A 14,216-nucleotide genomic window follows, 5' to 3' on the forward strand; every position below is an offset into this window, starting at 1 on the left:
TGATACTGCATAAATTCCTCAACTTCTGAGCCTTGGTTCTTATGTACATCATGATAATAATACCAATATCACAGGGTTTTTGTTGTTTGGATGAAAAATGTGTGTGTGTGTGTTTGAGTATGTGTGTGTGTGTGTGTGTGTGTGTGTGTGTGTGTGTGTGTGTATGTAGCCTGGCTATTTTATGCATTTGATAAATGATAGTTATTATTATTATAAACCAGAAGAGTCCAAGTTGAAACCAGGGTGCTTGGCAACCTGCCACAGCAGTTCTTAGCCCCCAGATAGGAAAATGACTTACAGGTGATGAAATTGGTCAAGAAATCTAATGTAACATCAAGGTGATCTATGATCAATACCCAGAACATTCAATGCTGACATTAAAGGTTTTAATGGAGCATTTATTGTTTGCTATAATGAAATTATATTGAGTTGCTAGAAGAAAGTGAATAGAATACAGCAGGATGCTCAGACAAATATCTACTGATTCATTCTTTGACTAGTTGCTTACTTTGTGATGAACACTGGGTTAGGAGGTAGAGAAGTACAATTGAACATGTTAGTGCAGGTTAGGCTGAGGCCACAAATAGACCATACAGGCAATGCCTCAATACCATAGAAGACTGTATTTCTCATGTAGCTATTCTGAGAGGGGGCTCAGGTTGGACGATCAACTTTTCTCCCAGGTTCCTTCTGTCTGTGGCTTCTTCATCCCCAAAGACCTCACCAATATCTGCAGCTAGCCAAAGAAAGTGGAAAGAACATGAAAGAGCAAGTGGGGAGTGTTTTTATGAGCCAGAACAGGAAGCGGCCCACATTACCTCATCTCCATTGCAGAGAACCTAGCCATGTGGCCAAACCTCACTGCAAGAAAGGCTGCAAAATATACTTTAGATTTGTGCCCAAGGAAGGAGAGAACAAATATTGTTGGGTGGCTAGTGATGACCTCAATGGAAGGACAATTCCGGGTGATGGGACCACATCATAAGATGACTGAGAATTGCTGGACATGGAAAAAGATCCTCTGAACAAACTATGATTGGAAATTGGGAAAGAGGGGAAGGTGGTGCTATATTCTGAATAAAGTCACTGGGAAGACTATTGATATGGTGTGGCTGTGTCCCCACCCAAATCTCATCTTGAATTTTAGCTCCCATAATTCCCATGTGTCATGGGAGGGACCTGGTGGGAGGTAATTGAATCATGGGGGTGGGTCTTTCCCATACTGTTCTCATGATAGTGAGTAAGTCTCACAAGATCTGATGGTTTTACAAAGGGGAGTTCCCCTACACACGCTGTCTTGCCTGCCACCATGTAAGATGTGACTTTGCTCCTCATTCACCTTCTGTCATGAATTTGAGGCCTCCCCAGCCATGTAGAACTGTGAGTCAATTAAACTTCTTTTCTTTATAAATTATCCAGTCTCAGGTATGTCTTCATTAGCAGCATGAGAACTGACTAGTACAACTGTGAAGTGAAGAAGCAAAGGATGGTGGCTCCTCAAAGGGAATTGGCAGCCACAAGCCGACTGCCCTGTCTGTGTACTGGGTGAAAAAATGCTGTTGGCCACCCAGGGAGAGTGCCACCATCAGTGGTGCTGTTTTCTGGCACTCAGGATACCTTCCTGAGCCGCCTCAGACTGGTCCAAACTAAAGTCAAGTCACCTGACCCAGGTCCTGCTGAATATGCTCCAACTGTGTTCTCTACTGGGGGTACTGGGGACTCACTGATGTTGACAAGGAGCTCTACAGGGGAAATGGATGTGATAAAGGATAGATATATAGGTGCTGAAGGCCTCTTGATGACACATCTCTTAAACACCCGTGGAAAACTGCTGGATCATCTAGACCTGCATTCTGATCCTTACAATTTATTATCTGCAGATCTGTGAAGGACAGGATTCTAAGATGGATCCCAAGATTCCTGCTCCCTTGTGTATACACCCTATATAGTCTCCTCCCCTTGAGAGTGTGTGGGGCCCATTAATATGATAGGATAGTGGCTCCCTTGATTAGTTTCTGTTAAATGGCAAAGGTGCTGGGATAGTCACTCCCACTACCTTACATTAAGTAAGACTCCATCATAGCTGACTGGAGAGTCTCCTGCCAGGTTTGAAGAAATAATCTACTGTGTTGTGAGAAGGTCGTGTGACTAGGACTCAAGGACAGTCTCTGGGAGCTGAGGTGATCCTAGTGGATAGCCAGCAAGAAAACTTGCAACTCAAGCTCTAAGACAAAACAGCAACTGCAAGGAACTGAATTCCTCCAGCAAGCAACTGAGCTTAGAAGAGAAATCAAAGCCTTACATGAAGTTGCAGCCCCTGCCTTGATTTTAGAGAAGAGAATCCAGTTAATTCATGCCTGAATTCCTGACTGATGGACACTTTGATATAATAAATTAGTGTTCTTTTAAGTTGCTAAGTGTCTTAGTCTGTTTCCTGTTGCTGTAACTAAATACCCAAGACTAGATAATTTATTTTTGAAAAGAGGTTTATTTAGCAGTTTTGGAGGCAAGGAAGTTCAAGATCAGGCAGCTGAATCTGGCAAGGGCAACATGCTGTGTCATAACATGGTAAATGGCATCACATGAGGTGGGGGCGGCACACTGAGAGCCAACCTGGCTTTTATAACAGAACCACTCTCATGGTAACCCATTAATCCATTAACTCATTAATCCACCCATGAAGGCAAAGCGGCATAACCCAAACACCTCTTAAAGGCCCTACCTTTTACATTAGGGATTATATTTCAATGGAGGTTTTAGTGGGAACAAACATTCAAACCGTAGGGCTAACTTTGAGGTAATTTTTTACACAGCCATAGCAAACGAATAGGGGCTGCTTGGGTAGGCTACTTAACTTTTCTAAGACTCCCATCTTTTATTTTTTATTAATCTTTAAAAATGGGCATTCCTTCTACATTTTTTGTTAATTTCTAAAAATGGGCATTCCTTATAGAGGTATTGAGATAATGCACCTAAAAGTATTTTATAAATTATCAAGTTGTTAACACTGATAAAAAGGGTTTATTAATAATAGGCAGTGACATGATAAATTAACATTGACAGGAAAACAAGGAAGTAAGCATTGTTTTTAAAAAGTGTATCTAATTAGTGTTTATTTTTAGAAATTGTTCTGATCTTCCCTGCTATTTAATGTTCTATTTTTTTTCCTCCTTAGCAGAGTTAGCCAGGCCCTCTGTCTTGCATGAGATTGAGTGTGATTCTGGGGATGCAAATCAGGATGTCTCTGGGAAGAATTGCATTGTGTAGGTTATTTCAATTTAAGAAGTAGCTGCAAGAAGATTCCAAACACATTTTGCCTCAAGTCACCTCAAGTTTCTAATCTTCCTGCTGGAGCTGCCTTTGCAGTGAAAATAAGAACTGGCCTAATGATGTGAAGACAAAACCAACAGAAATACTGATGTCATTGGGACATATTAGCAGAATGGCCTTTTAATTTGTAAAATTCTCCAAAGCTATGTCTATTTGACTGGATGTAAATATAGACATGAAGTAGTTTGGAGAATTTGTTGGGGGAAGGATATGAAGAAAATATTCTCATTGGGCAGTCAATGGTGTTTTTAAAAAATATCAAAAAAATTAAAATCCCCATCATTGCTGTTGAAGAATTTGCCATCTTTATTAAGAATTAAAAATGCTCAAAAACTTTGGAAAATATTTACAAAAATACTGACCAAGGATTGGGAAGTGTATGCAAGCTAAATCCACATGCCCTGAGATTTTTTTGGCATTCAAATCACTTTTTTTTTTTTTTTTGAGACAGAGTTTTGCTCTTTTTGCCCAGGCTGGAGAGCAGTTGCACTATCTTGGCTCACTGCAACCTCTGCCTCCCAGGTTCAAGCAATTCTCCTGCCTCAGCCTCCTGAGTAGCTGGGATTACAGGTGCACGTCACTACACCCAGCTAATTTTGTATTTTTAGTAGAAAAGAGGTTTCACCGTGTTGGCCAGGCTGGTGAACATGCCTGGTGAACATGTTGGTCAGGTCTCAAACTCCTGACCTCAGGTGATCCACCCACCTCGGCCTCCCAAAGTGCTGGGAGCCACTGTGCCTGGCCTCAAATCACTTTGGCACATACTACACACCTAATAGAATGACTGAACTTTAAAAGACTGACCATACCAAGTCTTGGGGAGGATGTGCAGGAACTGCAACACTCACACACTGCCAGTAGGAATGTAAAATAAGACAACCATTTTGGAAAAACAGTTTAGCACTTTCTTAAAAAACTAAACACATGCCTATTATATGATCTAGCCGTTCTACTCCTAAGTATTTACCCAAGAGAAATGAATAGATATGTTCACACAAAAATTTGTACACCAATGTTCAAAGCAGCTTTATTTGTAATAGCCAAAAGCTAAAAGCAACCCAAATGTCCCTCAACAGGTGAATAGATAAACAAACTATAGTATACCCATACACTGGAATACTATTCAGGGATAAAATGGAATGAGCAATTGCTACACATGACAACGTGCATGAATCTCAAAATAATTATGTTGAGTGGAAAAAGCCAGTCAAAAAAAAGAGTATCTACAACGTAATTTTATTTCTATAAAATTCTAGAAAATGCAAAGTAATCTATGGTAACAGAAAGTAGCTTGATCGTTGCCTAGGGATCAGGGAGTGAACATAGGGGTAGGAGGAACAGGTTACAAAGGGACAAAAGGAAATGTCGGGCATGATGGATGTGTTCATTGTATTGACTGTGGTGATGATTACACAGGAGTATCTACATGTCAAAACATCAAGGCATACTTTAAATATGTGCCATTTATTTAATGTCAATTATACCCAATAAATATGTTAAGAAAAAATTATTTTCACACACATAATTGAAGTTTTATTCTCATAATAAAATTCTGAAGTGGTTAGGAAAGATATGATTTCCATCTTTCAGATAGGAGAACTATGGTTGCAATGGAAAAAATAACATAATTGCACAGGATTTAAGTTAGGACTAGAACCTTGTCTATTCCAGGAATATGTTTGCTATCTGGAGCTGCCTCTGTGGTCTCTAACAGTTAAAAAGGATCTGGATCACCTCTACTTGAGTCCATGTCTCTTGGGGTATTGGTTTATCCATGGCAGCAGTTCTCAAAGTGTGATCTGTAAACCTCCTGGGGATTCCCAAGACCTTTCAGAGAGTCTGTTGAGGTCAAAACTATTTTCATAATAATACTAAGACAATATTTGCCTTATTCATGTGTTGACACTTGCCCCAGTGGTGCAAATGCAATAGTAGGTAAGCCTACTGGCTCCTTAGCACCAATCAGGGTAGTGGCACCAAACCGTATGAAATGGTATGGCTGTATTCCCACCCAAATCTCTTTTTGAGTTGTAGTTCCCATAATCCCTATGTGTTGTGGGAGGGACCCAGTGGGAGGTAATTGAATCACAGGGGCAGTTACCCCCATGCTGTTCTTGTGATAGTGAGTGAGTTCTCATGAGATCTGATGGTTTTATGTGGGGCTTTTCCCCCTTTGCGCAGCACATCTCTCTCCTGCCACCATATGAATAAGGACATGTTTGCTTCCCCTTCCACCATGATTGTAAATTTCCTGAGGCCTCCCCGGCCATGCAGAGCTGTGTGTCAATTAAACTTCTTTCCTCTATAAATTACCCAGTCTCGGGTATTTCTTCACAGCAGCATGAACATGAACTAATTCAATAAATTTATATGTTGGAGAGTGGGGTGCTGCTGTAAAGATACCTAAAAATGTGGAAGCAACTTGGGAAGTGGGTAACATGCAGAAGCTGGAACAGTTTGGAGGGCTCATAAGAACACAGGAAGATGTGGGAAAGTTTGGAACTTCCTAGAGACTTGTTGAATGGCTTTGACCAAAATGCTGATAGTGATATGGACAATGAAGTTCAGGCTGAGGTGGTCTCAGATGGAGATTTCAAAGTTTTTGGGAACTAAAAGAGAGTAAAGGTCTCTCTTGCTATGCAAAGCGACTGGCAGCATTTTGCCCCTGCCCTAGAGATTTGTGGAATTTTGAACTTGAGAGAGATGAATTAGGTTATCTGGAGGAAGAAATTTCTAAGTGGCAAAGCATTCAAGAGGAAGCAGAGCATAAAAGTTTAAAACTTTGCAGCCTGATGATGTGATAGAAAAGAAAACCCCATTTTCTGGGGAGAAATTCAAGCCAGCTGCAGAAATTCGCATGAGTAATGAACTGAATATTAATCACCAAGACAGTGTGAAAATGTCTCCAGGACATGTCAGAGATCTTCATGGCAGCCTCTCCTATCACAGGCCTGGAGGCCTAGGAGGAAAAAATGGTTTTGTGGGTCAGGCCCAGGGCCCCCCTGCTGTGTACAGCCTAGGGACTTGGTGCCCTGCATCCCAGGCACTCCAGCCATGGCTAAAAGGGGCTAAGATACAGTGTGGGCCGTGGCTTCAGAGGGTGCAAGACTCAAGCCTTGGCAGCTTCCACATGGTGTTGAGCATGTGGGTGCACAGAAGTCAAGAAATGAGGCTTCAGAACCTCCACCTAGATTTCAGAGGATATATGGAAATGCCTGGATGTCCAGGCAGAAGTTTGCTGCAGGGGTGGGGCCCTCATGGAGACCCTCTGGTAGGGCAGTGCAGAAGGGAAATGTGGAGTTGGAACTCCCACACAGAGTCACCACTGGGGCATTGTCTAGTGGAGCTGTGAGAAGAGGGCCTCCATCCTCCAGACTCCAGAATAGTAGATCCACTGACAGCTTGCATAGTGCACCTGGAAAAACCACAGACACTCAACACCAGCTTATGAAAGCAGCTGGGGCGGGGGGGCAAGGGAGTAGCTGTACCCTGCAAAACCACCAGGGCAGAGCTACCCAAGGCTGTGGGAGCCTACCTCTCACATCAGTGTGACCTGGACATGAGACATGGAATCAAAGGAAATTATTTCAGAGCTTTAAGGTTTAATTACTGCCTCGTTGGATTTTGGAATTGCATGGGGCCTGTAGCCCCTTTGTTTTTGCCAATTTCTTCCATTTGGAATGGGTGTATTTACCCAATGCCTGTACCCCCATTGTATCCAGGAAGTAACTAACTTGCTTTTGATTTTATAGGCTCATAGGTGGAAGGGACTTGCCTTGTCTCAGAGGAGACTTTGAACTTGAACTTTTGGGTTAATGCTGGAATGAGTTAAGACTTTGGGGAACTGTTGGGAAGGCATGATTGGTTTTGAAATGTGCAGACATGAGATTTGGGATGGACCAGGGATGGAATGATATGGTTTGGCTGTGTCCCCACCCAAATCTCATCTTGAATTGTAGTTCCCATAAGTCCCACTTTTTGCTGGAGGGACCTGGTGGGAGGTAATTGAATCATGAGGACAGTTACCCCCATGCTGTTCTGGTGATAGTGAGTGTGTTCTCATGAGATCTGATAGATTTATATAGGGTTTTTCCCCCTTTGCTTGGAACTTCTCTCTCTAGCCACCATGTGAAGAAGTACATGTTTGCTTTCCCTTCCACCATGATTATAAGTTTCCTGAGGCCTCCTCAGCCATGCAGAACTGTGAGTCAGTTAAACCTCTTTCCTTTGTAAATTGCCCAGTTTCAGGTGTTTCTTCATATCAGTGGGAAAACAAACTAATACATCATACTAGTCGCCATTATATTCCTCACTGCCAGGAACTCATAGCAAAACAAATGATTATAAAAAACACTATAATACCAAAGATATTTCCATTTAAGAACACTCTTGAAGAAGCAATAAGAATTATGGATTTTATTAATTCTCAACTCTTGAGAATCTCTGTTTTATATTCTGGGTGACAAAATGAAAAATGTTTTATGTTGCATACCAAATTATGATGATTGTCTCAAGGAAAATCACTTGTGTGATTGTTTGAGCTATAAGCTGAACTAGCCACTTTTTCCCCATGAATCACTACTTTTATTTGAAAGAATTGCTGACTAATTATGACTATTTAGATTTCGGTATTTGGCAGACATCTTCTCAAAAATGAACTAGGTGAGCCTGTTACTTCAAGGGGAACAACTAACAGTGTTGCCAATGATAACACACAAGTTTTCAAGCAAAAGTTAGAATTTTGGGAAATATGTTGACAGTTTCCCAATACTTAAAGACTTTTCTAATAAACTTATGGTGATATTAGTGAGTATAATTTTAAAATTTTATATAATTAAATGTGTCAATACATGGAAGACTTGCATAACCTAGTGAGTCAATATTTTCCAAATGACCAGTATTGTAACATGATATTATAAACTCATGCACAAATTAAAGAGCCTTTCAAAGTAGACCAATGGATTTTACTATGACAGAATATGAAAAGCTGATGAATATGCTTTTAGATTCCACACTGCAACTAATCTTTAAGATACTGTCACTTATTGAGTTTTGGTGTAGTATCAAAGAAGAATATACACAACTGTACTGAAAAGATTATTAAAATATGATCTTCCTTTTCCAATTATGTGTCTGTGTGTGAGGCTGAATTTTCTTTATGCATTTCAACCAAAAAATATATATACACCCACAATATATATGAGAATCCAGATGTCTTCTGTTAACCTGGACATTAAAGAGATTTGCAAAAATGTGATGTAATGCCACTCTTACTGCTTTTTGTTGTTGTTTTGGAAAATATAATGATTTTTCATTAAAATATTTTATTTATTTAACCTATAATAAATGTATTCTTGCTATTTTAAAGTGAATTAATAAATACATAATGATTAAATCTCTCAGCTTTAATTTTGAACATGGTAGACATTGACAAATATAAGCCACATAAACAAAACCTCTTTGGAGTCTGTGATAGGCTGAGTAATGGTCTCCTAAAATTGTCTATATCTTAATCTCCAGGACCTGCAAATGTGACTTGATATGGCAAAGGGACTTTACAGATGTGATTAAGTTAAGGATCTCAGGATGGGGAGAGTATCTTGGATGATCTGGATGGGGTTGATGTAATCACAGGGGCTCTTGTGCCTCTAAGAGGGTCCAGGAGATGAGAGTAAGTAGTAGAAGTGATGCCAGAAGCAGAGGTTGTGGTGATGTGAGGAAGGGATTGTGAGCCCAGGACTGCAGGTGGCCTCCAGGAGCTGAAAAAGATAAGGGACAGATGTCCTTCAGAGCTTCCAGAAGGAACCAGGCCTGTTGACACATTTGCTTCAGCCCAGTGAGACTGGTTTTGGATGTCCTACCTCAAGAATTGTAAGGCACTAAATTTGCATTGCTTCATACCACTGAGTTTTTGGTAATTTGTTACAGCAGTAGCAAGAAAACTAATACAGGGTCCTTGATCATTTTTAAGTGTAAAGGAGTTCTGAGACAAAAAAATCTGCAAGCCATTCCTCCATGGTAACCAGAGTTGACAGTGGAAGCAGACTCTGGACAGAGTGGACTGGCCCCGGTATGTGCCCATGTTCCAGAGGGATACAGTCTTCTCCAGGGTCCCATGGTGATCCTAGAGAACCTCAGAGCTCCTTCAGGACCTGGTATGTAGGAAATGCTCTATAAATATGTATTAAATAAAGGATTAATAAATACATGGCCCTCCTACATTTCGTTACTTAAACAGGCCACTTAAGACAATAATATAATGTATGGAGCTCCTACACAGTGCTACAACTGTTAGGTGAGGCCTTTATTCCATACAACACTGTATGTTAAGTCCAGAGTGGCCCAGGGGTTGCCTGAGTTACGGAATTGGCAGGTGGCAGCCCTGGTGTCAAATCTAAGTCTGGTTCTCAAGCCTTTGTTCTCAATCCCATATTCTTGCCACCATGACCTCTATGGATTTGCATGAAGTTGTCCAGTGTCAAATAGACACTAAGCTACAGTTGGTGCATATGTACTAAATCAGATTCATTTTAAGTATCCAGAAAATAAGGCTGAACTTAATCCTAATGACAGGCTGGGTGGGCCAGGGTAGATAGGAAGGGTGAGTGGGTAATCACTATTTCCTCATTGTCTGCTATGATGACCATCTGCTTTTATTTCACCAGGCATCACATCTTCTGCATTGGCAAAACTCTCAGGTAGTTTATCCAAAAAGTGATTTGTTTTCATGTGGATAAGTTTCTTCCTCTAAGATTTTAAGTGAAAGAAATAGATAAGTTATAGCATGGAAACAATGGTTCCCCTGCTTGTACCTCTGTGACAAGCATTATATCTAACACAATTTACCAGAAATTGTCATCATTATCATTTGTCTGCTGGATGCTGTTTGGCACTCAGAATGGAGGGTCACCATGGTGCCTCTGATCTTTAGCAATTTTTCTTTTCGTTCTGTTTCACTTGGTAAATGTTTTTCTGCCTCATCCTTCACCTAAAATGAAACAGCAAAGGACTGCCCAGTCCTTAAGTGACCTTTAGCAGTTTCTCCACCGTTGGATGGCTAATAAGTTAATTAAGCTTCCTGTTAATTAACTTTAATAATTAGCTTTGATATGGTCCTACCAAATGGTTATTGCCTTGGCTACGGACTGTCAACTCAGCCTGTCAATCAGAATATGGGCCCACGTTGCCAAGGGGCAACCTGACCCCGTTGGGCAAGAAATAATAAGACTTTGCCAGATTCTTTTGTCTTTGGGAGAGCAGAGTTCCAGAAATGGAAGAACACTTTGTATCCAACCTCAATGTCCAAACTTCTGGCCTCCTTAAGGTATCTCTATTTTAATGAAGCATTGGCAGAGTGAGTCATCTTGTCTTAATTTAAATCCAATTCCAAAAGACAGATCTGGTTTTTTTTTGAAATGTCGACAGATTTCGGAGGTTTTTTTTTTCTTTTAAAGAAGGCTTTCCTCTTTTAGAAAGACTGACTCACACAGAAGCCATCGATGGTAAATCATTGTCTATGCTAGGATTGCCTTTCAAGTAGAATATTTTCCGACCCCATGTTCACTTGCCTTGTCCATGTCTAGAGAATATAACTGCCCTGCAAGAGCACAGGCAGAACAAGCCAATGAATAATGAACGTGGGCTTGAAAGCAGCACGGAGCTCTCTTTGGCCACAACGCCCTGCTAATAACTTTTAGCACTGCTTGATGTCAGGCGGCACGTGGAGTGGAGATGATACTTGTCAGCTAATTTGGCTTTAATACTCAGAACATTCTGACTGCTCTGAGGTTTTTCTGTAGCCAAATTGTCTTGCCTGTTAAATTTGTAATGTGTTTAGGGAACTTCATTTTACATGTTTAGAAAAATGGCCCTGGAGACACGTGGTGCTTTGTCAAGAGGCCTGTGGGCCTCTGAGAACCGGCAGATGACACTGACACAGGGTGTCAGCGTTGGTGCAGGAGCCAGACGCCACTCCCTGGCTCCCTCGGAGAACTTGGGGAGGTTCTGTTCAGGGCTTCAGAAGAAAAAAAATAAAAATGCTGATATTTTTAGTTCCCACTCACTCTTTGACTATGAATAGGAATATGATTGAAATTTCTACCAGAATCTTCAAAGCTGACTTACCTTTAAAGCAAATGCCAAAGGTTTGAAAACTCATTCTAGATGGAATAACGTTGGCATGGACACAGAAGGCCTTAAAAAAAGAACCAAAGAAAACAAAACCCCAGGGCTTTCAGCAGAGATGGGTTAAGGTCTTGCTCCCCCACCCCCACCCCCTCTCCCATCCCCACAACTGCAGGGCAAAGGACAGCAGTGCCTTCCAACCTTAAGGGTCTGTACTGTGTGATCGTGGGGAGAACCAGCCTGTGTGTGGCTGGCACAAATGCCCTGGGGGCATGTCCAGCTGTAGGGTAATTAGAGCACTTACTCAAAGAATGACCTACAGGACATGCTGGGTTGGATTCAAGTATATTCTTGTCACCTTACAGCACCAGGGACTAGCGGAAGCAGGGATAGAGAAAAGAGAAGGAGGAGAGGGGAAAAGGGAGGGGAGAAACTCAGAAAATCCAAAATGAAACGGGACCCAGAGCAACGTTTGCTAATGGAGATCTGACTAGGGAAAGAGGCTGCTTAAAGCCCTTTGGCTTTTAGATATCCATTGTCATTTCTAAGACAGCTGAGTCCCAACTGCGAGAAGCCTTGTAAACTTTCATGACCTCAGCCCCTTCCAAGGAAGGCACCCAGGAGCTCATTTCAGTTGCCTGTGAAGCCTGCTAGAAACCTCTGGCCACTGTCATTTTCAAAAAATATATATATTTTCTGGCAATAAATAATAGCACCTACACTGGACACATTAATTTTCTTTTTCAGGTCACAGACAGGAGACGTCACCATATTGCACATATTAATTTAAGAATCTGGAACATATGAAAAGGTTCCAAAAATCATCTACAGCCCATTATATAATTTGCCATATGGTCTAGGGTTTTACATGCTGTTAGTATCCTCAATTCCCTTGCTCTCTTGTCCTTCCAGACCTATCCAACAAAATCCCAAACTTAGATCAGATCCGCTGTCAACATGACTTGTTCCTATATCCAGTCTGCAGAAAACGTCACCATCACGTGGCTGGGGGCCACTGGAAATCACAGCCTCTTCCTTCAGCTGAGCCCTTATTGGCGCTTTTCATCTTCTTTCCTAAGCCTTGGTCCTCAGCTGCTCTCAGTCTCCTCCATGACTCCTGCAACCCCCACCAGGCTTCTCAGGTCCCACACTCCTCCTCAGTTCCCAGTTTCACCCTCTGCAAGTCAGAGCAGAAGAAAGGGAGACATCTGTAGTCAGCGCCCTTCTCTCCCTCAAGCTGGAGTCTGCATGATCCACCAATGCTGTCTCCTAAACAGCCCTCTCACCGGCTCCCTTTACACCATCTGTGTAACCTTTGTCTGAATTCAGGTCCTTACCACCTTTTGCTAGGTGACTGCAATGGCCTTCAAATTGTTATCCCTTCTCCCTGACTCATCACTGCACTGGTCACCTCTTGAACCTTGCCTCACATCCTTTGGTCCTCCTTTTACATGAGCCATTGCTGTAAAATGCAGCATCCAACAGCACCTCCCCTCAGCTGCCCTAAGGCTTCTCTCACCCAGGGTGTTTGGTGTCTGCTGGGAAGCCCTTCACTCAGGCACATCCACTGGACTGGGAAAAGTCAGGGATTTATTGCACCCTGACCAGTGAGGAGTGGAAACCATGAATGCATGCTCCCCTTACACACTGGTGACCACCTCAAGCACACACCCCTCCTTTACTGGTCTCTCTTCCTTTCCTGTGTCTCCTTCCCCACACCCCTTCTCTATCCCTGCGATTCCTCCCCAAAGTAAAGTATCCACACCAGCCACCAGCACTTGTCTCAGCCTTAGCATCTCGTACAAATGCAATATGCATGCCTAAGTTCTTTCCCTCTGTGGCTCATGTTCTGTAAGTAGAAACAGACTCATTGTCAGATAAATGTAAAACACCGCGGTCCGGGAAGGCATTTAATATGCACAGGGCTCCTATGGAAGGCCAGGGGAGGGCACTGAACTCAGCCTCAGTGAGTCTGGAAGTGTCCTCTTCTGAGTCAGAAGCTGGACGTGGTGGTGGTGGAAGTGTGACCCAAGGGGTGGGGAGAATGTGCAGTTATTCATGTTATTGAATGAATAAATTTAATGTCCCTAGGCATCTGAATTTCTGAATAAAGAAAAAAAGCTCCAAGCTGCATGCTTTATTCCATAATATGCTCTCTGGCTTGCCCATATTTTAGGCTAGTTAATTCCCACATGACAAGAATGTAACACACCTCACAGAGCTGGTTACTTAGTTCGTGTGTCTTGGAGTATTTTATGGCAATTTTGCAAGAGTGAAGATGACTTTAAGGAGAATGAAAACCTGGCTATCTTGTGAATCACCTTAGCATCAGGGTGTTCACTATCAAACGAAAGCAGAGTGGTGGCCTATTAAGATGAATAAGAAAGCTTTCCCATTTTCTTGAGGCCTCCCTGACTATGAGGGGTCAGTTTCTAGATGAATGAGATGCTAAGTATCACTGCCACATGGATTCAGAATAGCAGCAGGGAGGTATCAGGCACTCAGCATCTGGCCAACTGGAGTTACAGGATTTCCCCTGGCAACATGGCTCTACAACAATCCGAGCTGGGACTAAGGCCTCCCACTCCCCTTCGCCAGCATCTGTAATTCCCGTCAGAGATGAACTCAGTTCTTACTGGTAACCTTGTTCTGGTTACCTTCTAGTTTCTCTCTCGAGGTCTAACTAGAAGGTTTGACAAAAGATGAGAGTAATTTATGGATACGTTAGACCTTGGCACCTTAGTTTTAGTCTTCTATTCTGT

The sequence above is a fragment of the Homo sapiens genome, chromosome 4, assembly GCF_000001405.40.
Source record: "Homo sapiens chromosome 4, GRCh38.p14 Primary Assembly".
Taxonomy (NCBI): domain Eukaryota; kingdom Metazoa; phylum Chordata; class Mammalia; order Primates; family Hominidae; genus Homo; species Homo sapiens.